This window comes from Homo sapiens, chromosome 19 (assembly GCF_000001405.40).
Source record: "Homo sapiens chromosome 19, GRCh38.p14 Primary Assembly".
Taxonomy (NCBI): Eukaryota; Metazoa; Chordata; class Mammalia; order Primates; family Hominidae; genus Homo; species Homo sapiens.
In genome coordinates this window covers 1,905,077-1,930,612 of record NC_000019.10, presented here as the reverse complement: position 1 = coordinate 1,930,612, position 25,536 = coordinate 1,905,077, and the positions used below count along the sequence as shown (strand labels likewise).

Here is a 25,536-nt window from a genome sequence, read left to right as displayed (position 1 = left end):
GGAGGCTGAGGCAAGAGGATCGCTTGAACCTGGGAGGTGGAGGTTGCAGTGAGCCGAGATTGTGCCACTGCACTCCAGTGTGGGCGACAGAGTGAGTCTCTCTGTCTGTCTCTCTCTCTCTCTCTCTCACACACACACACACACACACACACACACACACAGCTTGAGATTGTGCGTTCATGCTGGGAAATCGTGAGACATCCCAAACATCACATTCACCCTCCTAAATTGCTGTTGGAAGGCGATGGCTCCCTCATGTGGAAGAAGGATTTAGCAGTGGGGTTTGTGGAGGCGTAGGCAGGGTGAGGGGCAGCAACGCGGAATGACACAGCCCCTGGGGTTGGCAACAGTGGGCGCCTTACAGGTGGGGGATGGGCTGCAGAGAGGGACCCCCATGGACAGGCTGTCCTCTAGAGGGAGGAGGCCAGGGACCGACAATCGGCCTCACTTCCCCTCCCTCACTCTTCCTCCCTCACTCTCCCAGCCCCCTGCCCCCTGGTGCAAGTCCCCAGCTGGACCCCGCTGGGATGGAAGCTGAAGCCAGAGGGTTGAGGATCCGTCCCTGCAGTGCCCCCAGGCCTGGGTCCGGGCGTGGAGCTCAGTGGCAGGGGTGGAGGGGGAGCCTGGAGGGCCCAGCCCAATGAAGCCATCACAGTCACTCTTTTAGTGATGCCCACCCCGGGGACTCACCACCAGGGGCAGTAGCCATGGGGGGGGGCACACGATGCCCCCAGCTGCCCGCCAGGTCCCCCGCCATGCCTGCAGTTCCGTCTTCCTTTCCTCATTCCCTGGATCGCCCCTGTGACCCTGAAGGGGACGTGGCCACTCAGGAGCCACATCATGCCGGCTGCACCTTGTCCAGAGGCGGACACTCCCCATTTTTTTTCTTTTCTTTTCTTTTTTTTTTTTTTTTTTTGAGAAGGAGTTTCACTCTTGTCGCCCAGGCTGGAGTGCAATGGTGCGCTCTCAGCTCACTGCAACCTCTGCCTCCCGGCAGATTCTCCTGCCTCAGCCTCCCAAAGGGCTGAGATTACAGGCGTGACCCACCCCTGCGAGAGTTTCTATTAGAACCTGAAGCCCGGGAGCCAGGGCAGAGCCCGTCCGACTGGAGTCCGAGGTCGCCCTCTGGCGGCCGAGCGGAGGGCGGCGGGGTCGACCTCCGAAGGGAAGACGGGGCAGTGACTGGGGCGACAGTTTGCAGAAAGAGGGGCGTGATATTTAGGACGCACAGCAGAGGCTGCGGTCCCCGTCAGTACCCTGCAGCACCTGTCACTCCTGAACATGTAAACGCACACACGCATTCACACATGCAAACACGCATCGGTTTGCTAGGGCTGCCTTGACAGGTACCGCAGACCCGGCGGCGCAAACACCTGTTTATTCTCTCTCGGTTCTGGGGCTGCGAGTCCCAGACGAAGGTGTGAGCGACGCTGGATCCTTCTGAGCCCGAGTGGACTCTGTCCCAGGCCTCTCTTGGCGGTGACCGGCGTTCTTGGCTTGCGAAAGCTTCACCATGGTGTTCGTCCTGTGTGTGTCTGTGTCCCAAATTTCCCTTTTTTTTTTGTCTTGCTCTGTCACCCAGGCTGAAGTGCAGTGGTGTGATCTTGGCTCACTGCAACCTACACCTCCCGGTTCAAGCGATTCTCCCACCTCAGCCTCCCAAGTAGCTGGGATTACAGGTGTGCATCACCACGCCTGGCTAATTTTTTGTATTTTTAGTAGAGACGGAGTTTCACCATGTTGGCCAGGCTGGTCTTGAACTCCTGACCTCAGATAATCCACCCGCCTCGGTGTGCCAAAGTGCCGGGATTACAGACGTGAGCCACTGCACCTGGCTTTTTTTTTTTTTTTTTTTTTTTGAGATAGGGTCTCTCTCTGGCACCCAGGCTGGAGTGCAGTGGCGCCGTTAACAGCTCACTGCAGCCTCAATCTCCTGGACTCAAGCAATCCTCCCACCTCAGCCTCCTGAGTAGCTGGGAATGCACGCATGTGCCACCATGCCCTGACACTTTTTGTATTTTTTGTGGAAATGAGATCTTGCTATGTTGCCCAGACTGGTTTCAAACTCTTGGTCTCAAGCAATCCTCCCACCTCGGCCTCCTGAGTAGCTGGGACTACAGGCGCATGCCACCATACCTGGCTAATTTTAATTTTTTTTGTAGATATAGGGTCTCACTATGTTGCCAAGGCTGGTCTTGAACTCCTGGGCTCAAGCAATCCTCCTGCCTCTGCCTCCCAAATTGCTGGGATTACAGGTGAGAGCCACTGGGCCCAGCTCAAATTTCCTGTTTTATGTAAAGGACACCAGTCACACTGGATCAGTGCCCACCCTACTCCAGAATGAAGTCATCTTAACTATATAATTTCATCCTCAATGACCTTATTTCCAAGCAAAGTCACATTCTGAGGTCCTGGGGCTTAGGGTGTGAACATATGGGTATTGGGGAGGACCTAATTCAATCTGTAATAAAGCACAGACACTCATAGACACACAGATGCACATACACACACACACATACGATACACACGCAACACAAGCACAACACACACAGACCAGCATCTATGACTCTCTACCTGAGGGCGGAGCTAAGCCTCCCCAGCCCCCATACCATTTGCAGGGGAGTTGGAGGATAAATACCCCAGCTCCCTCACCTCCGGACGACAACCTGAGCCAGATCCTCAGAGGGACTGAGCTCCAGCAGCCTGGAGCTGTAACCTCCCTGTTCATGCCTCCCTATGGGCCACTCCCCATCCCCACACCCCTTCGGTACTTCCTGGGCTCACATCCTAGATAGACCATTTGCCCTCAATCTTTGTTGTGGTAAAACACCCTTTTGCGACAGAGCTGCTGAGCCATCCCTCTTGTCCTCTATGAAGCCAGATGTTCAAGAGTTTTGCACACATTTAAAAAAGTATGCCACCCATCCTCCTGTTTAAAAAATGTATTTGAGGCCGGGCACCGTGGCTCACACCTGTAATCCCAGCACTTTGGGAGGCCGAGGCGGGTGGGTCACGAGGTCAGGAGATCGAGACCATCCTGGCTAACACAGTGAAACCCCGTCTCTATTAAAAATACAAAAAATTAGCCGGGCGTGGTGGCGGGCGCCTGTAGTCCCAGCTACTCGGGAGGCTGAGGCAGGGGAATGGCGTGAACCCGGGAGGCGGAGCTTGCAGTGAGCGGAGATCGCGCCATTGCACTCCAGTGTGGGCGACGGAGTGAGACTCGGTCTCAAAAAACAAAGTATTTGAAAAAAAATATTAACATGTAGTAAGTTTATTCTTTTGTTGTTTTTTGGTTTTTTTTTTTTTTTTTGAGACAGAGTCTCGCTCTGTCGCCCACACTGGAGTGCAATGGAGCGATCTCCGCTCACTGCAAGCTCCCCGCCCAGGTTGATGCCATTCTCCTGCCTCAGCCTCCCGAGTAGCTGGGAATACAGGCGCCCGCCAGCATGCCCGGAGAATTTTTTGTATTTTTAGTGGAGATGGGGTTTCACCGTGTTAGCCAGCATGGTCTCGATCTCCTGACCTCGTGATCCGCCCGCCTCGGCCTCCCAAAGTGCTGGGATTACAGGCGTGAGCCACCGCGCCCGGCTGGGTTTGTTTTTTGAGACAGAATCTTGCTCTGTCACCCAGGTGGCAGTGCAGTGGCGTTATCTTGGCTCACAGCAACCTCTGCCTCCCAGGTTCAACTGATTCTTCTGCCTCAGCCTCCCAAGTAGCTGGGATTACAGGCACCTGCCACCACACCTGGCTAATTTTTGTATTTCTAGTAGAGACAGGGTTTCACCATGTGGGCCAGGCTGGTTTTGAACTCCTGACCTTGGGTGATCTGCCTGCCTCGGCCTCCCAAAGTGCTGGTATTACAGGTGTGAGCCACCACACCCCACAACCCCCCTTTTTTTCTCTCCAGAGTCTCACTCTGTCACCCAGGCTGGAGTGCAATGGTGCAATCTTGGCTTAGTGCAACCTCTGCCTCCCAGGTTCAAGCGATTCTCCTGCCTCAGCCTCCCGAGTAGCTGGGATTACAGGCGTGTGCCACCACGCCCAGCTAATTTTTTGTGTTTTCAGTAGAGACAGAGTTTCACTATGTTGGCCAGACTGGTCTTGAACCCCTGACCTCAGATGATCCGCCCACCTCGGCCTCCCAACGTGCTGGGATTACAGGCGTGAGCCACTGCGTCTGGCCGATGTTTGCTTTTTACGTAGGGCCAGTGACACTGGCTTTCCATCTGTGCAAGTTTCCTTTTTTTTTGAGCCGGTGGGGAGTGCAGTGGCGCGATCTGGGTTCACGGCAACCTCCGCCTCCCGGGTTCAAGCAATTCTCCTGCCTCAGCCTCCTGAGTAGCTAGAACTACAGGCACCCGCCACCGCGCCCGGCTAATTTTTGTATTTTTAGTAGAGGCCGGGTTTCACCACGTTGGCCAGGATGGCAGGGTCAGCCCTGGGCACACCTGGCTACAGGGCACCCGGGGCCTGGGTGGGAGGAGGCGCTGCAGGGGGGCATCCTGCCAGAGGCCATATGCTGAGGGGTCTCCCAAGGGAGAAGACGGCCTGGGGGAACCACACATGCTCACAGCACAAACGCGGCAGGTCCCTGGCTCTAAGTGCAGAAACATGTATTTATTTCCAGGATATTTTCACATAACAAAACCCCAACGATGCGGCGAGGGGCCACACACGGCGGGGGAGGGGTGGGGGGGGGTTGGGCCTGCCAGGTGAGATTTTGTCTGCATCAGTGCAGGCGAGAGGCTGGGGAAGGGGGTGCCTCTTGGCAGACTGGCCGGGGGCAGGACCTGAAGACCCTGAAGCATGGCCGTGAGACCCATGGGTGCTCCATCCTGGCTGCCGTCCATCGAGACACCATGGCCGCCTCCGGGCACCCAGCGGCATTCCGTACCAGCGAGGGGACTGGCTCACATCCTGGGGAGGGCTCCAGGGCAGCAGGCGTCCTACAGCAACAGCATCCTGGGGGTGAACGGGTGGGGAGGGGTGGCAGCCTGGGGTGTCCAAAGTTGTGGTCAGCGAGTGCAGGAAATGATGAAGGAAAAGTTTCTTTTTGGCCCAACCGTTGTGAATGGTGCTGTGAAAATGTCTTGCCTGGGAGAGGTGTTCCAGGGGGAGTTGGGGGGTGAGGGGACAAGACAATTGTGGCCGCTGCCGGACCCCTCCATAAGGCACAGATTTGACGGGTCCCCTCTCATAAAAGGCCACTCCAGGCTGGGCGCGGTGGCTGACACCTATTATCCCAGCACTTTGGGAGGCCAAGGCGGGTGGATCACTTGAGGTCAGGAGTTCGAGACCAGCCTGGCCAACATGGTGAAACCCCATCTGTACTAAAAATATAAAAATTAGCTGGGCGTGGTGGCAGGCAACTGTAATCCCAGCTATTTGGGAGGCTGAGGCAGGAGAACTGCTTGAACACGGGAGGCAGAGGTTGCAGTGAGCCGAGATCACACCACTGCACTCCAGCCTGGGCGACAGAGTGAAACTCTTGTCTCAAAAGAGAAAAAACAAAACAAAACAAAACACAAAGGCCTCTCCTGCAGGGCTCCGGCTGCTGGGAAACCGGCTCTCTGCCGGTTTGCTGGGTTTGGGGAGCGGCTGTGCTCCCGACCTGGCCTGGGTCCCCGACTCTGAACTCAGGGGCGTGGAAAGACAGCCTGCCAGGGATCCCTGTTTTGGAGGCAGGGAGGGTGGCCCCAGGATACCCTGGACCAGGAACTCCCCAGGTATGGTGCACGTGGGGAGGGGGCGAGGCTGGAGCCGCACAGATCAGGGGATGGCGGGGACAGCGAGGACTCAGCTAGGCACCAAGCCCTCTATCACTGCAGGGGACCGGAAGCTGGCCCCGACGCCTCTTATTAGTTCCGGCCAAGGGCATCTGCCATGGTGACGGCGGGTGGCCGGTGAGACGGAGCTCCCCATCAGACCCGCTCTGACCTCAGCGCCAGCAGCTCTGGGAGGACGGGAGGGCGGCCGACCTGCTGCCACCTGTCCCCCGGAGTCAGGCCTCGAGACCTGAAGACAAGGCCGTACCAGCCGTGCAGTGGACGGCGGGTGACCACACGTTTCCGGGAGCAAGAGGGCGTCCTGTGGACGGCAGAGGCCAAGGGCTGCTGGGGAGTGCTTGTGAGGAACTCCGCTCTCGGATGAGATGAACACGGGTTCTGTGGCCCTGGCAGGAGGGGGGCGGTCCGTGGCCACCACCGGCTTCCACCATCCCAGCTGGGGGGATGGGGCCCCAGGTACTCCCAGCCCTCGGGACCAGGGGTAGCAGCAGGAATGAAGGGGAGGAGGTGGTGGGCGGTGGGGGCAGGGCAGGCTCCCTCTAAGGCCACTGGCCACTGCCCGGGTAGCTGGGCACAGTGGGGTACTCGGGCAGGCTGTTGCCTGAGAAGTTGTTGTACTGGGCCTCCCTCGACGGTGGGTTCCGCCAAGTGCCCGTGTTCCACTCCGTCTGTGCCTTCTGGAAGCTTCCGCCAGCCCCTCGGTAGATCCTGTGCACCTGCAAGGACAGAGGACAGGGAGGCAGAAGACAGAAAATGAGCATGGCGGCCGGGCACGGGGACTCACGCCTGTCATCCCAGCACTTCGGGAGGCCGAGGCAGACAGACTGTCTGAGCTCTGGAGTTCGAGACCAGTCCAAACAACATGGTGAAACCCTGTCTCTACTACAATATAAAAAATAGGCCGGGCACGGTGGCTCACGCCTGTCATCCCAGCACTTCGGGAGGCCGAGGCGGGAGGATCACGAGGTCAGGAGATTGAGACCATCCTGGCTAACACGGTGAAAACCTGTCTCTACCAAAAATACAAAAACAAAATAATTAGCCAGGTGCGGTAGCGGGCGCCTGTAGTCCCAGCTACTCGGGAGGCTGAGGCAGGAGAATGGCATGAACCCCAGAGGCGGAGCTTGCAGTGAGCAGAGATCGCACCACTACACTCCAGCCTGGGTGACAGAGCGAGACTCTGTCTAAAAAAAAAAAAAAAAAAAAAAGCATTTTGCTGTAACTGAAAGTTTCTGTTATGAGCCCAGCTCAACACTTCCGCTATCTTCAGATGGAAACTGTGACCGGGAACCTGCAAGGGGCCCCACCCTCACTGACAGGACAGCTCCAGGGCCTCAGCTGTTCCTGCAAACACTGCGGTTTACACACAACCCCTGCTTCCCTCTGGAGTCTGGACTCCCGGCCCAGGGGGCCACAGGACTGGCCCCATAGGAACCCAGGCGCTGGGTCCCTGGGAGTGTCCCTGGTGACAGTGCCTCCTGCTGTCATCCCAGCTCACTGCTGGGGATGAAGTGCGGCCTGCGTGACACCGTGGGGAGAGGGCCCGGCTCCTCGACGTTCACCCACCTGGGACAGTTGGGTGACGAGGTTCATGGAGAAGGGGTAAGGGCTGGACGTCACAAAGCCGAGGACTCACCTTCATGATCGCGATGGCCATCATGGCAGCCGACACGGAGAACATGATGGCTGGAAGCAGCATGACCACGGCAGCGCCCGGGCTGTACTGGAAGAATCCAATTGCCGACAGCCAGCCGCTGCAAGGGACAAGAGAGTGCGTGGGTGCCTGCACACCTGCTGGATGAGGGCCCATGGTCCGGCCCATGGTCCTCCCCATGTAAAGAGCTCTGGCCAATCAACAAGGAGTGGACAGCTCATACAAGGACGACCAAGTGGCCAACAAACATAAAGCGATACTGAGAGGCACCAACTTCAACGCGTGAATACGACCTTATCCCTCCACCATCGCAGCAGTGAGCCGCGTGTGCAGTGGACACAAACTTCGACGCGTGAACACAACCTTATCCCTTCACCATCGCAGCAGTGGGCTGTGCGTGCAGGGAATGGAGACCAGTGCTTCCCCATTAGTTTCCCTCAGTGAGTCCGGCGGGCACCAGCCATGGAAAGACTCAAAGGCCCCACTGAGCCTGCTACTAAGAACCCAGCCTACGGCAACTGTGTCTAATGATGGGAACTGCTGAAACCTACATCCGCATGTCCGGGAGCAATGCGGATGGAAAATCTGCCACCATCACCCGGTGGGCACTGAGGGACCATTAGAAACAATGAGGAGGCCGGGCGCAGAGGCTTACGCCTGTCGTCCCAGCACTTTGGGAGGCCGAGGCGGGCGGATCACTTGAGGCCAGGAACTGGAGACCAGCCTGACCAACAAGGTGAAACCCCGTCTCTACTAAAAATACAAAAATTAGCCAGGCATGAGGGCGCATGCCTGTAATCCCAGCTATCTGGGAGGCTGAAGCGGGAGGCTGCAGTGAGCCGAGATCGTGCCGTTGCTCTCCAGCCTGGGGGACAGAGCAAGATTCTGTCTCAAAATAAAAAAACGAGGGAAAGCACTGCTTAGATCAGCCACCAGTGGGACACTGGGAAGGCCAGCACGCCCTGGGTCCCTCTGTGCAGGACCAGCCTCTGGGCATTGCACCTGCCTTTGAGACCCAGGAGGCAGAAAACAGTCATTTTGAGATTTTTGTCTTAACAGGTGATGAAACCACAGGGTTTAAAATTCAGGGAACTTAAAGGCAGGCACGACGTACAGTCTCTCTCCTGCTGACTCCCCTCCCTGGTGCACAGGCAGCCCGCAGGACCCACACCCCCGGATGTGTCCGGGGAGCTTATGCACACACATGCACGGGGCGTGATATGCACGCACACGCGGTACCCCCCGCCGCGTCCCTGCAAGATGCTGGCCTGTCCTGTGTTCGCCTGCTTGGAGCCTCCACAGCATCACAGGCTGCATGGTCTTTGGGTCATTCCTTCCTCTTTTTTTTTTTCTGGAGAGATGGTTTCTCCCTATGTTGCCCAGGCCAGTCTGAACTCCTGGCCTCAAGCAGTGATTCTCCTGCTTTGGCCTCCCAAAGCGCTGGGATTACAGGCGTCAGCCACCATGCCTGGCCTCTTTTATTTTTTAAAAAAGTAAACCTCTGTTTGGATGTAATTTTAGATTTATGAAAAGCGGCAAAGGCATTTGAGGACTCCTGCCGCCGCCCCCGCAGCTTCCCACTGGCCAGCATCGCACGCCCCCGCATGCAAGTGTCAGGTCTAGGGAGGCACCCAGCACACTGTCAGTGGGCTGCATGCTCCGCTTAGAGGCTGCGGCGCCCGCTGATGTCCGATTCCTGGCGGGGCCCACCGGGGGCCCCTGCTGCACCGTGTCCTCAGTACCTGGCTGCCGCCATGTGGCCACCCTCACCATCTACACAGCTAGGCCCCGCTGGGGGTCATTTCTCTGGAGTTTCCAGTCCTCTGCCACCACAGATGCTGCCGTGGCTCATGGCCTCGGGCATGCGTCACCCCTGGGGAGGTGACGCTGGTGAAGCTGCCCGGGGCAGGGAGAGCGGGGCTGTCGCCTCTTGCCCCACAGCAGTGCACAGAGTGTGTGGGGAGGTGGCGCTGGTGAAGCCGCCCAGGACAGGGAGAGCGGGGCTGTCCCCTCTCGCCCCACAGCAGCGCACTGAGCGTGGGGCCTCACTAAGCCAACGGTGGACATGAAGTCGCTGTGCGCTGTGGTTTGATTTCTCTCATTACAAGGGGGGCCGGGCTCTCCTAAGACCCGCTGGGTTTCTTTCTCAAGAGCGTTCACCTTCTGTCCACCTCGGGCAGGGACCGCATGCTCAGCTTCTCCCGTGACCTGCGGGAGATGACCCAGGCTCCAATGAGAAGAGCCAAGTCGCTGCTGCCGCACGTGCACGAGGGCCGAGGGGGCAGGGAGGTCTCTGAGGGTCACATGTGGGCACTCACCTCATGCCGGGATCTCAGGACCACCCAACACGGGCACAGGCCTGTCCACCCAGCTCAGCCTGGGAGAGCTGGGGACGCACCGGGGAGGCGGCTCACAGGAGGCACTGGAGCCCAGGGAAGGGCCAGTGGGAGCCGAGCTGGCAGCTGGGAGCTCAGGAGGACTCGGAGGATGACGAGCAGTGCCTTGACCTGCAGCCACAGCCTCTGCAGGAGGGGGAAGCACCCCAAAGGCTGGCAGAGCTGGGAGTCCCAGGCACACGCTCACTATGACTCTAACTCAGATCCCTGGGGCAACGTCACTCAGGCTCTTGGGGTGGCAGGTGACAGACCAGCTTCAGCGGCACATCCGAGGGGTGCACAAACCACAGATCCCAGCCACCCTGGAGGGCCTGGCGCCAGGCGCAGGTGCAGGAGGGGAGAGGCCTGCAGATCGAGGGGCCCTGAAGGGAGAGGAGTCACCATCCCAGGAAACCTGGGACCTTATCTGGATTCTGATCTGTGCACTGGCGTGAGAGTACCGCAGTCTTGTGGGGCAGGAACCCCAGAACAGGAGCTTGCTAATGGGAGCCCAGGAAACCAAAGGCACCCACGGCTCCGTGAGCAGCGTCACCCGTGGGGAGCTCCCGCCGTGCCAAGGACAAGGGAGACACGTCGGGGACGTGGGCGAGAACAGTCACTCTCTGCAACTGAGAATTACAAATTATTCCAAAATAAAAAGCCTATTTAAAAAGCCACAAATTTGGCCAGGCACAGTGGCTCACGCCTGTAATCCCAGCACTTTGGGAGGCCGAGGCGGGTGGATCACGAGGTTAGGAGTTTCAGACCAGCCTGACCAACACATGGTGAAACCCCGTCTCTTACTAAAAATACAAAAATTTGCTGGGTGTGGGGGCACACACCTGTAGTCCCAGCTACTCGGGAGGCTGAGGCAGGAGAATCGCTTGAACCTGGGAGGTGAAGGTTGCAGTGAGCCAAGATCATGTCACTGCACCCCAGCCTGAGTGACAGAGAGCGACTCCATCTCAAAAAAAAATAATAATAGTTTAAAAAAAGGGCCGGGTGCAGTGGCTCACACCTGTAATCCTAGCACTTTGGGAGGCTGAGAAAGGCGGATTGCCTGAGCTCGGGAGTTCGATACCAGCCTGGGCAACACGGTGAAACCCCGTCTCTACTAAAATACAAAAGAAATTAGCCAGGCGTGGTGGCGGGCGCCTGTAGTCCCAGCTACTCGGGAGGCTGAGGCAGGAGAATTGCTTGAACCCAGGATGTGGAGGTTGCAGTGAGCTGAGATTGCACCACTGCGCCCCAGCCTGGGTGACAGAGCAAGACTCTGTCTCAAAAAAAAAAAAAAAAAAAAGAAAAGAAAAAAGGCAGAAATTTAAGACACCAACACAAACACTTCTGGGCACCTGGCAGCCTTAGAGAGTGACTGTGAGTTTCTCAGGTGTGGTAACAGCACCAGGTATGTGTGTTTTTACAGATGTACAGGTCTTCCTCCTGCAGCGATCCGTGCAGAAACATCAGCAGCCAGGAACTGGCTCCCAGACCCCGGGTCAGGGGTGTGATCAACACTCAGGAGACAAGCCTGGCTGGGCGCTGGCGAGGACGCAGGCACTGCCAGGGCGAGCTCGGACCCCTCCCTAGGAGAGTGCCTACAATCGCGAACCATGGCTGGGTGCTGGCGAGGACGCGGGCGCTGGCGAGGACGCGGGCGCTGCCAGGGTGAGCTCAGACCCCTCCCTAGGAGAGCGCGTACAATCCCGGACCAGCACGCTCCGGTGGCCGCCTGGCTTCCCAGCAGGCCCACAACCTGGCAGCTGAGCCACATCACAGCCACCACGCCCATCAGAGAGAGGCTTACCACGCGCCCCAGCCGGAGAAGCCAATCGCCTGGATGACGGTCAGGACAAACTGGGCTCCGAAGATGAAGAAAAACGCCATGAAATTAAAGGAGCTGTCGGCTCTGGGGAGGGACAGAAAACACGACGGTTACCACAGCCCTGGCTTCTCCCAGACGCGCCTAGAGAGGAACGGGCCAGTCAGAGATGGTGAGAGCGGAGGCTCTATTTTATTCCTTTTTTTTTTTTTTTGAGATGGAGTCTCACTCTGTCGCCCAGGCTGGAGAGCAGTGTCGAGATCTCGGCTCACTGCAACCTCTGCCTCCCGGGTTCAAGCGATTCTCTTGCCTCAGCCTCCTGAGTAGCTGGGATTATAGGCGCCCGCAACCACGCCTGGCTAATTTTTGTACCTATAGTAGAGACAGCGTTTCACCATGTTGGCCAGGCTGGTCTTGAACTCCTGACCTCAGGTGATCCGCCTGCCTCGGCCTCCCAAAGTGCTGGGATTATAGGCCTGAGCCACTGCACCCAGCCAAAATTACTAGAAAGCAAAACAAAACAGACAGTAGTTGGCTCTGGCTTGTGGGCCACAGTTTGCCACCCCCAGATGTGAACTGTCTTTCACACTGGGCAGAGAAAGGGACAGCTCCTCACAGCTGGGCTGGGACTGGGGTGCAGAGTGGGCCCTGGTTCCCTCTGGGTGCAGACGGCCCCCGGCAGCTCTGCTCACCGGAAGGCCTTGTAGACAGGCCGGAACCAGCACACGTAGCCGCAAGGCGTGAACAGGAGCAGCCACACGAAGGCCAGGCCGAAGTTGGTCCCCGAGCCTCCGCCGATCCACCAGGCCAGGCAGGCAATGAGGTTGACGCCGAGGGTGGCGCAGTAAACTGCGAAGAGAGAGGGAGGACGGATGAGCAGGCACGGGAGGGTGTGGCCGTGGGAAAGCATGGGCCCAGCAATGGGGCACCCGCTGTCCGCCTCCCCAGCCCAGTGACCCCATGTCGAGGATGAACTGTGCAAGCCAAGACACTGGGGCCTGGACACCAGCCTCGTTCACCGCAGGGACCACCAGGCCCAGGACGGCTTCAGTAGACGGTGGGCCCCCGACGGGCTGCCCCTGCCTGAATGCCACTCCCTCCCTCGGGGAGCCCTGCCTCCCGCTTCCCGCCTCCTGCCCCCAGGCGCACTCACACATCCACAGCCGGTAGATCCTCTTCACCAGGACCTGGTGCTCCACTGGGATCTCGTCGGAGAAGTTCTGGTAGAAGCAGGGCTTCACAGGGATGAACTTGGGCAGTGGCGGGAAGTTGTTCTCCTTTTCTGTAGGGACAGAGAACCCACGGACAGAACCAGACTTTGTCTCTTGAAGGAGGCCCCACCTCATCCCTTCGACCCAAGGCTGGGTTGCCTCTCATGGCAGAAGGGACTCTGCAGTTGGGATTGAGGGCAGGACGCTGAGACAGGAGAGGGTCCTCGTGGCAGCCTCACGAGAGGAGACGGGAGGGTGGGAGTCAGAGAGAAACGGGAAGAGGCTGCGCTGAGGCTGTGAAGGGGGAGAAAGGGGCCCTGAGTGGAGGGATGGGGGCGCCTCTAGACGCTGGGCAAGGCGGGAACCGGCCTACAGCTTGATGTTAGCGTTTCTGGTCTCCAGAACTGTCAGATAACTGATTTCACTGTTTTAAGGAACTAAGTTTATGACTCTTTTTTTGAGACGGAGTCTCGCGCTGTCTCCCAGGCTAGAGGGCAGTGGTGCGATCTCGGCTCACTGCAGCCTCTGCCTCCCAAGCTCAAGTGATTCTTCTGCCTCAGCCTCCCAAGTAGCTGGGATTACAGGCGCCCACCACCACACCCGGCTAATTTTTGGATTTTTCTTTTTAGTAGACACGAGGTTTCACCATGTTGGCCAGGCTGGTTTTGAACTCCTGACCTCAAATAATCCGCCCACCTCTGCCTCCCAAAGTGCTGGGATAACAGGCGTGAGCCACCGCGCCCGGCCGAAATTGTTTTTTAAATTTACGTGTCACCCTTCATGCAGGGCCCTGCTACTCTTCGTAGCCCTCCTCCATGTTTAGTGTGGGTGCGGCTGCAGCAGGCTGCATTTAGTATCATTCCCTCCGGCAGGCAGGGACGCCAACATGCAGGCTCAGCAGGCCGAGTCCGCACACTGCGGGGAGGCTGTGGCCTGGGGACGCTTCCGTTCCCCATGGCTGCTGTGAGAAACCACCACCGACTGGGAGGCTTAGAACAACAGAAACTGCCCAGGTGTGGGGGCTCCCACCTGTGATCTCAGCACTTTTGGAGGCTGAGGCAGGAGGGCTGCTGGAGCCCAGGAGTTCCAGATCAGCCTGGCAACCTAGCGAGACCCCAACTCTACAAAAACTACAAAAATTAGCCAAGCGTGGTGGTGCGTGCCTGTGGTCCCAGCTTCTCGGGAGGCTGAGGCAGGAGGATCGCTTGAACCCAGGAAGTTAAAGCTGCAGTGAGCTATGATCACACCACTGCACTCCAGCCTGGGAGAGACCCAGACCCTGTCTCAAAACAAAACAAAGAACACAACAAATATTTATCTGCTAACAGTCCTGGAGGCCAGAAATCTGAGATCAAGGTGTCTCAGGAACGCGCTCCCTCTGCAGGCTCCGGGGAAGGAGCCTTCCTGCCTCTCTCAAGCAGCTTCTGGGGGATCCCAGCGCCCTTGGCTCATGGCCGCATAGCTCTGGCCTCTGCCTCCATCTCCACGACGACTCCTCCTGTATCTCCATGTCTTTTTTTTTTTTTTGAGATCCAGTCTCACTCTGTCACCCAGGCTGGAGTGCAGTGGCGTGATCTCGGCTCACCACAACTCCGCCTCCCAGGTTCAAGCGATTCTCCTGCCTCAGCCTCCCAAGTAGCTGGGACTACAGGTGCTGTGCCACCATGCCCAGCTAATATTTTTAGTAGGGATGGGGTTTCACTATGCTGTCCAGGCTGGTCTCAAACTCCTGACCTCATCATCTGCCCACCTCGGCCTCCCAAAAGTGCTGGGATTACAGGCGTGAGCCACCACGCCCGGACCATCTCTTTTTTTTTTTTCTGAGACAGTCTCGCTCTGTCACCCAGGCTGGAGTGCAGTGGCCCGATCTCGCTCACTGCAAGCTCCGCCTCCCGGGTTCACACCATTCTCCTGCCTCAGCCTCTCGAGTAGCTGGGACTACAGGCACCCGCCACCACGCCCAGCTAATTTTTTGTATTTTTAGTAGAGACGGGGTTTCACCGTGTTAGCCAGGATGGTCTCGATCTCCTGACCTCGTGATCCACCCGCCTCGGCCTCCCAAAGTGCTGGGATTACAGGCGTGAGCCACCGTGCCCGGCCTCCATCTCTTCTTATAAACACAGCAGGCACTGGGATGAGAGCTCGCCCTGCTCCAGTACTTTATCTTAACTCCATCACGTCCGGAGTTAAGGCCATATTCCCAAATGAGGTCCCACTCACAGGTTCCAGGGATCAAGATGGGAACACAGCCTTTGGGGCACTCAGCGTGGCACTGGGAGCCCCCCAGGAGCTTCTGCTCAGCCAGCACTGCCTGAGGAAGTGTCCCTGGGCGCCTGCGAGGGCCAGATGGGGAGTCAGACAGCAAGAGGCCCTGTCCTCAGGGGCTTACGCCCCACTGGGGAAGGCTGCCAGTAAATGAGTGGGTGAGGGACCCCGGGGCACATGAGAACACGCCCGCTGCTATAAGGAAAGAGCAGCTGTGATGGCAGGGGCACCCGGCTGGGCTGTGCTTCGGGTCAGTGAGGCGTCCGAGCGGATACACAGGCGGCTCTGCTGTCCTTTGCCCCCAGCAGAGGCGTGACTCCAGCTGTGCTGGGCTACGGGACCCGAGGAGTCAGAGGCCAGGTGGGCCAGGAGGACACTGTTTGCCAACGGCCAGGACCGAGGGCTCCTGTGGGAACTGCTGGCATCTCCCTCCCGCCCACGCTGCTGGAGGCTCCCAGGCAGGCAGGACTCACCTGACATCTCTGTTTCACCAACCAGCGCAGGCTGAAGCCTGCAGCCGCCTGGAAGGAAGACAACCACAGTCAGGGAACCCTGAGCTGCCCTGGGCAGAGCGCTAACCACCCACCCACCGTGGCTGAAAAGCCCTTCATCGTGCCCTGTGCTCTGGAAACAGCAGTGGGCTAAGCGGGAGCCACAGGCCTGACTCGACCCAATGTGTTACCCCACAGGTCCCCCTCCCCTCGGCTCCAGTGCACACCACCCATGCTGGCAAAACGGGCAGGGCTGGCCGCAGCCCCTCCCACCCACCGCCCCAGCCAGGATGCCCCTTCCCCGCTGTCCTAGGCCCCTGCGTCCCCCAAATCCCGGCTTCAGCCCACAAGGGGTGGGCGCCACAAGGTGAACGCTGCAGGGCCTAAGACCCCATCGCATCCGCATGGCACCCTGGCCGTTCTGAAAGGGAACCCCATGAGCTCACCCACCAGAGCAGCCCCACCTGGCCTGACATCCACCCACGACTGAGTGGATCTAGCTGCTTCCGTGATCCTGGGGGCGGACCTGCCATCGGGAGGTGGGCCAGCCCAGCAGGGGCATGCCTGCTGCCCACTGGGCATCACAGACCAGTGGGGTGTGAACCATCCCAGATCCTGGCAGGGGAACAGGCCCGAGGGGGCGGGCACGGGGCCAGGAGCTGCCTCCCGCCCACAGTCCAGGTGAGGCAGTTCCCAGGAACTGAGCCCTCCACTCACAACCCGTTCAGGAACATGTCACCGTGGGGTGGGGCACCCCTGGCTCTTGGGACAGGACATCTTCCCCTCCGCCCGCCTGCCACCTCCCACCTCTCACTCCCTCCTCCCTGACTTCCTGCCCCTCAGGGGAAGGAGCTGAGCACCTGAGCATGAAGGAGGCCCAAATGCTGCCTCTACCACTCAACTGGGCACGCCTCTGCGGCTCCCACCTCCTCACTCCACGCTGTGGCTCTGGCCCCATCCGGGACCCTCCAGCCCACCTCAGTCCCACCCCCAGGCACGGACTCCCCCACTGCAGGCCTGGCGGGCTCCTGGCCAGCAGTGGTGTTCTGTCCACTGCATGAGCTCCCCACGCAGAGCCCCCACCTGCCGGATCCCCTCCCCTATGGGCTGGGGGCTCACAGCAGGCGTGTCTGGAGGCAAAGCTGCACCCACATGGTCAGGCAATGGACACTTGCCGGGTGGACCCACAGGTCCTGCTCCAAGTTCTGCAAAAACGGCTCTAGTCCTCACTGTGCTGTGACCGACTAGCATCAGCCCTTTGGGGTCCCCTGTTGCCACTTGTGAAGGACACGAAATCCCAGGGCCCTTCCTTAGGGTCGGTGCCCTGTGGACTACGCCTAGTGTCCACACACTTGGGCCAGGCACGCCTGGAACCATCAGGACTCCAGAAGCGGGAAAGGAGGCAGCAGCTGGGGGCCTTGCTCTACCCCAGAATCAGCCCAGGTCTCTGACCACACGTGGCTCAGCAGGTCCCCTCCGGCTGAGCCACCAGGCCCTGTACAGACCCCACCCCACTCGGGACCCTGGCCACAAAGGCACACACCTCCTAACAGACACCCACTTGGTTTTGGGCTGTTTATTTTCCCATCAGAGCAGTTTCCCGGCCCGCGAGACAGAGGGGACACAAACGCAGCAAGGGCGGCCGCAGAAGGGCACCGCTGGCACGGGGTGGCCCCAATGACCGAGTCCAGGAAAGCTCGATCCGCACGGAAGGCAGCACCCGTGCTCCCCGCTGGAGGCGGTATGTGTCCCTGAAATCCACGGTCAGGCTTGTGCGGAAGAAATCGAGGCCCGGAAGTCCAGGAGGGGCGCCCCACGGCCGGGAGCGGGAAGGGTCCGGAGGCAGGAGGGCGGCGCCTACGTGTCGGGGTCCAGCCAGCGGCACTGCTCCTCCAGCACCCCGCGGAACACCTGGAAGCGGTGGTTGAGGTCGGGCCGTGCGTGGATGCGGAAGCGGGTGCCCAGGGCGCCGTCGGGCGAGGGCGCACCGTAGAAGACGCGCAGGATGCGTGCGTGCACCAGGGCCATGGCGCACATGGCGCAGGGCTCGCGGGTCACGTACAGGTCGTAGCCAGTGCACAGGTAGGGGAGGCCGTCCTCGTCTGCGTCCAGTTTACGCACGGCGCCTGCGCGGACGGCCTGGGGGGCAGCGGCCGGGGCGAAGGAGCAGGCGGGGAAGGGTCTGAAGTCGTAGGTGCCGCGGCCCTGGCCGCGCGCCACGAGGTCCACGCACACCATGACGGCGTGCAGGAGGGGGTTGTCCGCGCAGCTGCAGTCGTGGCCGGTGGCCAGCACGCGGTCCGAGGCCGGGTCCACTACCACGGCCCCCACGGCCCGCAAGCCCCGCGCTGCTGCCCGCCGGGCCGCCCACACCGCCCGCTCCATGTGGCTCTGCATGGCGGCGCGCTCCTGCGTGGAGAAGAGCCGCCCAGCCAGGGCGCTGGTCACCTGCTTGTCCTCGTGGAAGGACGTGGGCCAGTGGGCCCGGGCCTCCTCGAACTGGCCCCTGGTCAGAGGCGGCCGGGCGGGCACGGGCACCAGGAAGGGTTGCCCCAGGCCGCGGGGGTCCACAGCCGGCCGTGGCAGGAGCTCAGCCAGCGAGCGCGGGCCCGAGGCCGGCCCAGCCAGGCAAAGCAGCATCTCCAGGGCGTGGGGGCTGCCGGCATCGCGGCTGGGCCGCACCCGCTTGAGGTGAGGCTGGGCGGGGAGCGGGTGCAGGGCCGACACCTCCTTCAGGAGGCGTGAGGTCTGGCGCTTGTCCAGGACGGGCGCGGCGTAGGCCAGCACCAGCTCCACGTCCCCTGACTGCTTCTCGGACAGGACAGGGAGGGCCTGCCACGGCGCCGGCTCAGGCTCCGGGCTCCCGGCCTCCAAGCACTTGGGCTGCTCCACGAGGCCCGGGGCGGGCTCCATCCTCAGCGAGGCCGACTGTGGGAGACAGAGACGGGAGCAGAGGATCATCCGGCGGCTGCGGGCGGCTGGGGGAGAGCCGGGGAGTCCGTCCCGGGAGGCCGTGGCTCCACAAGGCAGGGCGTGCTGCCACCAAAGCTGAGGCTAGTCCGAGGGCTCCGGCCCAGGTCACCGCATCAGAGCTACACTCCCTCATGTCCTGCTAACCCCTGGTGTGCACAGAGTTTAAACAGCCATTGGTTTTTAAAAACGAAGATATAATTCACCTACCAGAAGACAGATCATTTTCTTTTTTTTTTATTTTATTTTTTTACTTCTGAGACGGAGTCTCGCTGTCGCCCAGGCTGGAGTACAGTGGCATGATCTCAGCTCACTGCAACCTCCGCCTCCCGGGTTCAAGCTATTCTCATGCCTCAGCCTCCAGAGTAACTGGGATTACAGGCATGCGCCACCACGCCCGACTAATTTTTGTGTATTTTTAGTAGAGATGGGATTTCACCACGTCGTTCAGGCTGGTCTCGAACTCCTAACCTCACGTGATCCACCCGCTTCAACCTGGTGGTGGGATTACAGGTGTGAGTCACTGCGCCCAGCCAAGACAGGTCATTTTCAAAAGCACAATTCATGGCTAGGTACCAGCGGCTCACGCCTGTAATCCCAGCACTATGGGAGGCCGAGGTGGGGGGATCACTTGAGCCCAGGAGTTTAAGACCAGCCTAGGCAACATAACAACACCCCATTTCTACTAAATATCAAAAAATTAGCTGGGCGTGGTGGCACACACCGGTGGTTTCAGCTACTCGAGAAGCTGAAACAGGAGGAGCACTTGAGGCCGGAAATTCAAGGCTGCAGTGAGCTACAATCGTGCCACTGTACCCCAGCCTGGCTGACAGAGCAAGATGCCATCTCAAAAAAAAAATGAAAACCCGGGCACGGTGGCTCACGCCTGTAATCCTAGCACTTTGGGAGGCCGAGGCAGGCGGATCACAAGGTCAGGAGATCAAGACCATCCTGGCTAACACGGTGAAACCCCGTCTCTACTAAAAATACAAAGAATTGGCCAGGCCTGGTGGCACGCACCTGTAGTCCCAGCTACTAGGGAGGCTGAGGCTTGCAGGAGAACCCAGAAGGTTGAACCTGGGAGGCGCAGGTTACATTGAGCCGAGATCGCGCCACTGCACTCCAGCCTGGTAACAGCGCGAGACTGTCAAAAAACAACAAAAAAGCCAGGCGTGGTGGCTTAAGCCTGTAATCCCAGCACTTTGGGAGGCTGAGGCGGGCAGATCATGAGGCCACGAGATCGAGACCAGCCTGACCAACATGGTGAAACCCCATCTCTACTAAAAATACAAAAATTAGCTGGGCATGGTGCCACGCACCTGTAATCCCAGCTACTCAGGAAGCTGAGGCAAGAGAATTGCTTGAACCTGGGAGGCAGAGGTTGCAGTGAGCCGAGATCGTGCCACTGCACTCCAGCCTGGTGACAGAGCGAGACTCTGTCTCAAAAAAAAAAAAAAAAAAAAGACACCTCAAAAACCAAAAACTATCAAGTGTCCTATTCAGTGGCTCTTAGGACACTTGGAGTTGTGCAACCATCACCACTATAAAATTCCAGAACATTCCATCACCCCTAAGAGAAAACTTGTCTCACCACCCTACAACACACACAGCAACCCAGGCAACCACTGATGTGATCTCTGCATCTCCAGAAGCCAGAGCCTGGAAGCAGAAGCGGGGACAGGCGGCGCCTGGCTTCCAGACAGAAGGGCCATGTGGCCAGGAACTGAGCAGGACCCTTGGTCCCCCGGCCGCAAGCTGCTGAATTCCGCCAACGCCTGCGTGAGTTGCAAGCAGATGCCACCCCCGTTGAGCCTCCAGATGACAACACAGCCCTGGCTGACACCTGGGTTCCAGCCCGGTGAGACCCCGCAGAGAGGAGCCAGCCATGTCACATTCAGGCCCCGACCCACAGAACCGGGAGCTGGCGGGTGTTGTATTAAGCCCACAGATGCACGGAGTCTGCTATGCAGTGACAGAAAGCAAGCATGCCAAGTGTGGGGGACACGGGGCCCCCTCCCAGAACAGCACACAGCCTGGCACTGACACGGAACACCCACCTCCAGTGGTTTCTGTAAACACTCGCCCCCTAGTCGGCCAAGGGCTAGGAAAAGAGAGACCTCAGAAGACAAGCCACGAAACGTAAGCCCCGGAGCGCAGCCCCTCCCCTGGTGGGCCCGACTTCCCATCCCTTGACCACATTCCTGCAGCTGTGGTGGGCCCTGGCTGTCGGGTGGAGCAGGCAGCCACTGGGGTGTCCCTGCTTACTCAGTCACAGAGGAGGCCCTGGCTGGAGTGGGGCTGCGGGAAGAGCTGGGATCACTCCCGGGGCTCCTGCTAACATCCCTGACTGCCGGGCAGTGTGCCAAGGCGGCTCTCGGGTGAGAACCTCCCGGCCTGACATCACCAGCACTGTTACCATCCCTGCCGCTGGCACAGGTGAGGACATCCCTGCTGCTGGCACAGGTGAAGACATCCCAGCCACTGGCACAGGTGAGGACGGGAGGCAGTAAAGCCGTTACCATCCCTGCTGCTGGCACAGGTGAGGACAGGAGATAGTAGAGCCATTACCATCCCTGCTGCTGGCACAGGTGGACATGAGGCAGTAGGGCCACTCCACTGGAGAGGAAGGGCTGGTGGGGCCCCCAGCTCTCGGGATCCGCCCATTAGAAGGGAGCCTGCCCTAGGCGGGCAGACAGCACAGCAGAGAGGCAGGCGTGGGGACAGCCAGCCTGCAGGGACTGCTCACAGGGCCCTGGGGGACAGCGCCTCTGGCTCCCACATCTCTGGCATCCACCCCACCTGAACACCCCCAAACCACAGTCTCAGCTGGCCAGCCTTCCCCCACCTGCATCTGCCCCCACAGACTCGCACCGCAGGCCTGAGGTTGGATTACAGGCGTAAGCCACCATGCCCAGCCCACATTTTTTTTTTTTTCAGACAGAGTCTCACTCTGTTGCCCAGGCTGGAGTGCAGTGGCATGATCTCAGCTCACTGCAACCTCCACTTCCCAGGTTCAAGCGATTCTCCTGCCTCAGCCCCCCTAGTAGCTGGGAATACAGGCACATGCCACCACGCCCGGCTAATTTTTGTATTTTCAGTAGAGACGGGGTTCCACCATGTTGGCCAGGCTGGTCTTGGAACTCCTGACCTCAGGTGATCCACCTGCCTCAGCCTCCCAAAGTGCTGGGATTACAGGTGTGAGCCACCGTGCCCAGCCCACATTGCTTAAAAGTATAAATTAGTTGGGCACGGTGGTGTGCACATGTAGTCCCAGCTACTCAGGAGACCAAGGCGAGAGGATCACTTAAGCACAGGAGTTTGAGACCAACGTGGGCAAGATAGAGAGACCCTGTTCCTTTTTTCAAATAAATAAATAATAATAAAATCCTAAAAACCTTACTACCTGTGTGCTCACAGTTATTTCTAGCAGACAGTACTGCCTCAGATGGTGCTGGGGCTAAGCCGCAGATGATCTTAAAATGACTCCAGCCGGGTGATCCTGAACTGCCAGCCTGGACTACACATCCCCGCTGGTATGGACGGCTCCTCCCGCAGACAGGGATGTGTCTCTGGATCATTTCGCAGCCGCGCAGCTGTGGGTGCTACTCCTCGACATGCACTGCCTGGTCCACGCCTCAGCCGCCGGGGCGCCCCACAGATGGGGGACCAGCAGCCAGTGGAACTCCAGGCCAGTGGCCTTGGAGGTCACGCTGAAGCGGCCCCAGCGCTGCCCGAAGCTCACGCGTTCAACAAAGCACAGAACCGGAGATGCAGTGGGAGCCGGGAGCAGGAAGCGCGGAGGCAGCGCCAGGTGCTGCCGCTGCCCGAGGCCCCGTGCCAGGTGGGGCCCATAGCAGCCGACTCGCTGGGCCCTCCCAAAACGCACACCACGCGCGACCAGGACCGAGAGGCCCGCACGGCCCTGCTAGGCCACAAACACTCCACTGTCTCCAGGGTAAAAGACAAACACAGCCTCGCTTGTCCCTCCAAGAGTACAACCTCTGTCTGATGAAAAACAAACGACCCAGAGAGGAGGCAGCTGCCGGGACACTGCAGGCTGGGCCCGCCGCGCCCTTGGAGGGCAGGTCAAAATCCCGGAACAGGCACAGTGTTCAGGCTGATTGACTGTCCCAGGCCAGGGCGGCCTCAACTGCCAGAGCACCTCCTACCTACCTGCTATGGCCCGGGGGGACGACTCACTCCCACAGCGACTGCCCCCCAACAGCAGGGGGCCACCTGACCCTCCCTCTACCACACCCACCCAGAAGGCAGGCGACCGACCACTGGGACCCCTCAGGAGGGCAGGCAGCCCAGGTCCCAGGTCCCAGCAGAACACGGCCGCCAGCCTGGGCTGGGAACCGGCATAGCTCCAGGCAGGTGAGTCAGACCCTGCGTGGTGACAACCCTGGTGAACAGGAGGCTGGGAGGCCTTTATCTAAGCCCACAGATGAGGAGGCCAAGGTCCGCGCCGGGACCTGGGTATGTCCACCCAGAAAACACACCCAGTCCCCAACCTGCCCTAGAGGCGTTCAGCCCAGCGCGGTCAATTCCTGACTGCGAGAACTCAGGCACCAGTCCTGACTCCTCCAAGCCTCGGCTTCCACCCCTGTGAAATGGGAATTCCTGCTCTACCTTTTTTTTTTTTTTAAGGCAGGGCTGTCAGGTACATAAGAGAAAATGGGGGGATGGAGGGGCCTGACCATCTTCAGCAGAATCCAGGAGGGCTCCTCGGAGGCAGTGACCCACAGCCCAGCCTGGAAGGCTGGGGAAGTAGGGGAGAGAACTCGGAGAGGGAACAGCTAATGCTCAGTTCCAGGGCACACCAATAGTCTGCGTGGGGGCTTTTTTTTTTTTGGGACAGTCTCACTCTGTCCCCCAGGCTGGAGGGCAGTGGCGCGATCCTGGCTCACTGCAACCTCTGCCTCCCTGGTTCAAGCAATTCTCCTGCCTTAGCCTCCCAAGCAGCTGGGACAACAGATGTGCACCACTATGCCTGGCTAATTTTTTATATTTTTAGTAGAGGTGGGATTTCACCATATTGGTCAGGCTGCTCTCGAACTCCTGACCTTGTGATATACCTGCCTAGGCCCCCCAAAGTGCTGGGATTACAGGCGTGAGCCACTGCGCCCAGCCTGGGGCTTGTTTCTTTACACACACACACACACACACACAATTTTTTTTTTTTTTTGAGACGGAGTCTCACTCTGTCGCCCAGGCTGGAGTGCAGTGGCACGATCCTGGCTCACTGCAAGCTCTGCCTCCTGAGTTCACACCATTTTCCTGCCTCAGCCTCCTTTGGGAGTAGCCGGGACCACAGGCGTCCACCACCATGCCTGGCTTTTTTTTATTTTTAGTAGAGACAGGGTTTCACCGTGTTAGCCAGGATGGTCTTGATCTCCTGATCTCGTGATCCACCCGCCTTGGCCTCCCAAAGTGCTAGGATTACAGGCGTGAGCCACCACGGCCGGCGCTACACGTATGTATTTTATTTATTTATTTAGAGACAGGGTCTCGCTCTGTTGCCCAGGCTGGAATGCAGTAGTGCCATCACAGTTCACTGCAGCCTCAACCTCCGGGGCTCAAGCAATCCTCCTGCCTCAGCCTCCCAAGTAGCTGGGACCACAGACATGTGTCACCATGCCTGGCTTATTAAAAAAAAATCTTTTTTTCTTTTTTTTGGAGAGTGAGTCTTGCTAGCTTGCTCAGCCTGGAGTACAATGGTGCCATCTTGGCTCACTGCAACCTCCACCTCCCAAGTCCAAGCGATTCTCCTGCCTTGGCCTCCCCAGTAGCTGGTTTTACAGGCGCGTGACACCACGCCCAGCTAATTTTTGTATTTTTGGCAGAGATGGAGTTTCACCATGTTAGACAGGCTGGTCTCGAACTCCGGACCTCAGGTGATCCACTCGCCTTGGCCTCCCAAAGTGCTGGGGTTATAGGGTGAGGAACTGCACCCAGCCGTCCTTGTTTCCACGGAGTCGATCCTCTGTTTCTGGCCACCCTACAAGGAGGCCTTCTCTGCAAGACAGCGGGGAACCTCGGTCCTCGGGGTAGTGTGTGGGAGATAACTGGGGGCCTGTGATACAAAAACCTGAAAAACTCATACTCTAGGTAACGATGAGGAACGATGGTCAATTCTGGGGATGTACCAAGGCCTAGGGGAATCTCCACATAAAGGCGAATCAGAGCTGGGGAGGAAGGACGCGAAGGCTACGGAAACTCGCGAGAGCGCGGTTCAGAGGCAGGGGACTGCGGGACATGACCTGAGGAAGGGCCACCGGAAGCAGCTGGAGGATACGGGGTCTCCCGCACCGACCATAAGGGCGCACACGCGCAGAAAGGCGCTAGGCCCGGGGGAGCGCGGTCCTGAGGCTTCCCCCAGGCCAGCGCCGCGCGCGCGCGCGCACGCGCATTCGCGCCGCCTCCCCGCGTCGCCCACCGGCCCGCCCGAGACGCGCGCGAGGCTGGCCTGGGCCCCCCGTTTTCTCCCCACAAACGGCCGGCGCCCCTCACCGCCGAGACCCCCCATGTCAGCCCCTACTCCCCCTCTGGGGAAGTCTGAGCCTGGAGAACCCGAGACCTCGGGGCCGCGCGCTTACCTGAGGGATCCGGGCGCGAGCGCAGCGCTTCGCCAAGTCTTAGCAACCGGCCCGGCCCAACCCACCTCACCCCGCCTCGTCTCCGCCTGGAGCCGCGGAGCACGACGGGAGCGTAGTTCCAGGGGCGGGATCTTCGCCAGGCCAAGGTGGGGCAAGGACTACAATTGCTAGTAGGCACTGCGCGCCGCCGCCTCGCCCCGCCCCGCTCCGGCACTGCGCTCACATGACCTCCGGGCGGCGGGAGGGGAGGAGAGGCGGGGCCGCTGCGCTGGGCGAGCGCTGAGTTTGCAGGTTCGAATCCCATCAAGCGGCCAGGGAAAACTCGGAACCCGGGGGATCTTTGGAAGGTTAGCAGAGTGGGAA

The 25,536-nt window shown here is 59.3% G+C and overlaps 2 protein-coding genes across 5 annotated transcripts, besides 8 other annotated features; both read right to left on the bottom strand.

The window, feature by feature from the left end:
- Window positions 782-871: an enhancer, noted in NCBI's record as "active region_13636". NCBI's record gives its function as "activates an Ori minimal core promoter by ATAC-STARR-seq in GM12878 lymphoblastoid cells {active_cell/tissue: GM12878}" and the evidence as "EXISTENCE:reporter gene assay evidence [ECO:0000049][PMID:35858748]".
- Window positions 969-1,263: a silencer, noted in NCBI's record as "tiled region #4132; K562 Repressive DNase matched - State 4:PromP". NCBI's record gives its function as "represses a minimal TATA promoter and a strong SV40 promoter by Sharpr-MPRA in K562 cells {active_cell/tissue: K562}" and the evidence as "EXISTENCE:reporter gene assay evidence [ECO:0000049][PMID:27701403]".
- Window positions 969-1,852: a biological region, named in NCBI's record as "Sharpr-MPRA regulatory region 4132".
- Window positions 970-1,852: an enhancer, noted in NCBI's record as "H3K4me1 hESC enhancer chr19:1928760-1929642 (GRCh37/hg19 assembly coordinates)". NCBI's record gives its function as "activates a minimal SCP1, AML or CMV promoter by ChIP-STARR-seq in naive H9 embryonic stem cells {active_cell/tissue: H9 hESC(naive)}" and the evidence as "EXISTENCE:reporter gene assay evidence [ECO:0000049][PMID:30033119]".
- SCAMP4 (secretory carrier membrane protein 4) lies at window positions 4,600-25,214 on the bottom strand. 3 transcript variants are annotated; one of them, NM_079834.4, is made up of 7 exons: window positions 25,174-25,214; window positions 15,587-15,634; window positions 12,791-12,919; window positions 12,330-12,486; window positions 11,623-11,724; window positions 7,426-7,543; window positions 4,600-6,505 (listed from the first exon to the last, which is right to left on the bottom strand). In NM_079834.4, the coding sequence occupies exons 2-7, from the start codon at window positions 15,591-15,593 to the stop codon at window positions 6,329-6,331; spliced, it is 690 nt and encodes a 229-aa protein (NP_524558.1). In that variant the 5' UTR covers window positions 15,594-15,634; window positions 25,174-25,214; the 3' UTR covers window positions 4,600-6,328. The 3 variants fall into 3 exon arrangements, with proteins under 3 accessions (NP_524558.1, NP_001316469.1, NP_001316468.1); NM_001329540.2 differs by lacking the exon at window positions 11,623-11,724; NM_001329539.2 differs by lacking the exon at window positions 15,587-15,634.
- Window positions 17,166-25,214, bottom strand: ADAT3 (adenosine deaminase tRNA specific 3). Of its 2 annotated transcripts, none has more exons than NM_138422.4 (2): window positions 25,174-25,214; window positions 17,166-18,723 (listed from the first exon to the last, which is right to left on the bottom strand). In NM_138422.4, exon 2 carries the CDS (start codon window positions 18,563-18,565, stop codon window positions 17,462-17,464), a length of 1,104 nt encoding a protein of 367 aa, NP_612431.2. In that variant the 5' UTR covers window positions 18,566-18,723; window positions 25,174-25,214; the 3' UTR covers window positions 17,166-17,461. The 2 variants fall into 2 exon arrangements, with proteins under 2 accessions (NP_612431.2, NP_001316462.1); NM_001329533.2 differs by having other exon boundaries at window positions 17,166-18,532.
- Window positions 21,824-22,635: an enhancer, noted in NCBI's record as "H3K27ac-H3K4me1 hESC enhancer chr19:1907977-1908788 (GRCh37/hg19 assembly coordinates)". NCBI's record gives its function as "activates a minimal SCP1, AML or CMV promoter by ChIP-STARR-seq in naive H9 embryonic stem cells {active_cell/tissue: H9 hESC(naive)}" and the evidence as "EXISTENCE:reporter gene assay evidence [ECO:0000049][PMID:30033119]".
- Window positions 24,711-24,800: an enhancer, noted in NCBI's record as "active region_13635". NCBI's record gives its function as "activates an Ori minimal core promoter by ATAC-STARR-seq in GM12878 lymphoblastoid cells {active_cell/tissue: GM12878}" and the evidence as "EXISTENCE:reporter gene assay evidence [ECO:0000049][PMID:35858748]".
- Window positions 24,961-25,110: a silencer, noted in NCBI's record as "silent region_9754". NCBI's record gives its function as "represses an Ori minimal core promoter by ATAC-STARR-seq in GM12878 lymphoblastoid cells {active_cell/tissue: GM12878}" and the evidence as "EXISTENCE:reporter gene assay evidence [ECO:0000049][PMID:35858748]".
- Window positions 25,161-25,490: a silencer, noted in NCBI's record as "silent region_9753". NCBI's record gives its function as "represses an Ori minimal core promoter by ATAC-STARR-seq in GM12878 lymphoblastoid cells {active_cell/tissue: GM12878}" and the evidence as "EXISTENCE:reporter gene assay evidence [ECO:0000049][PMID:35858748]".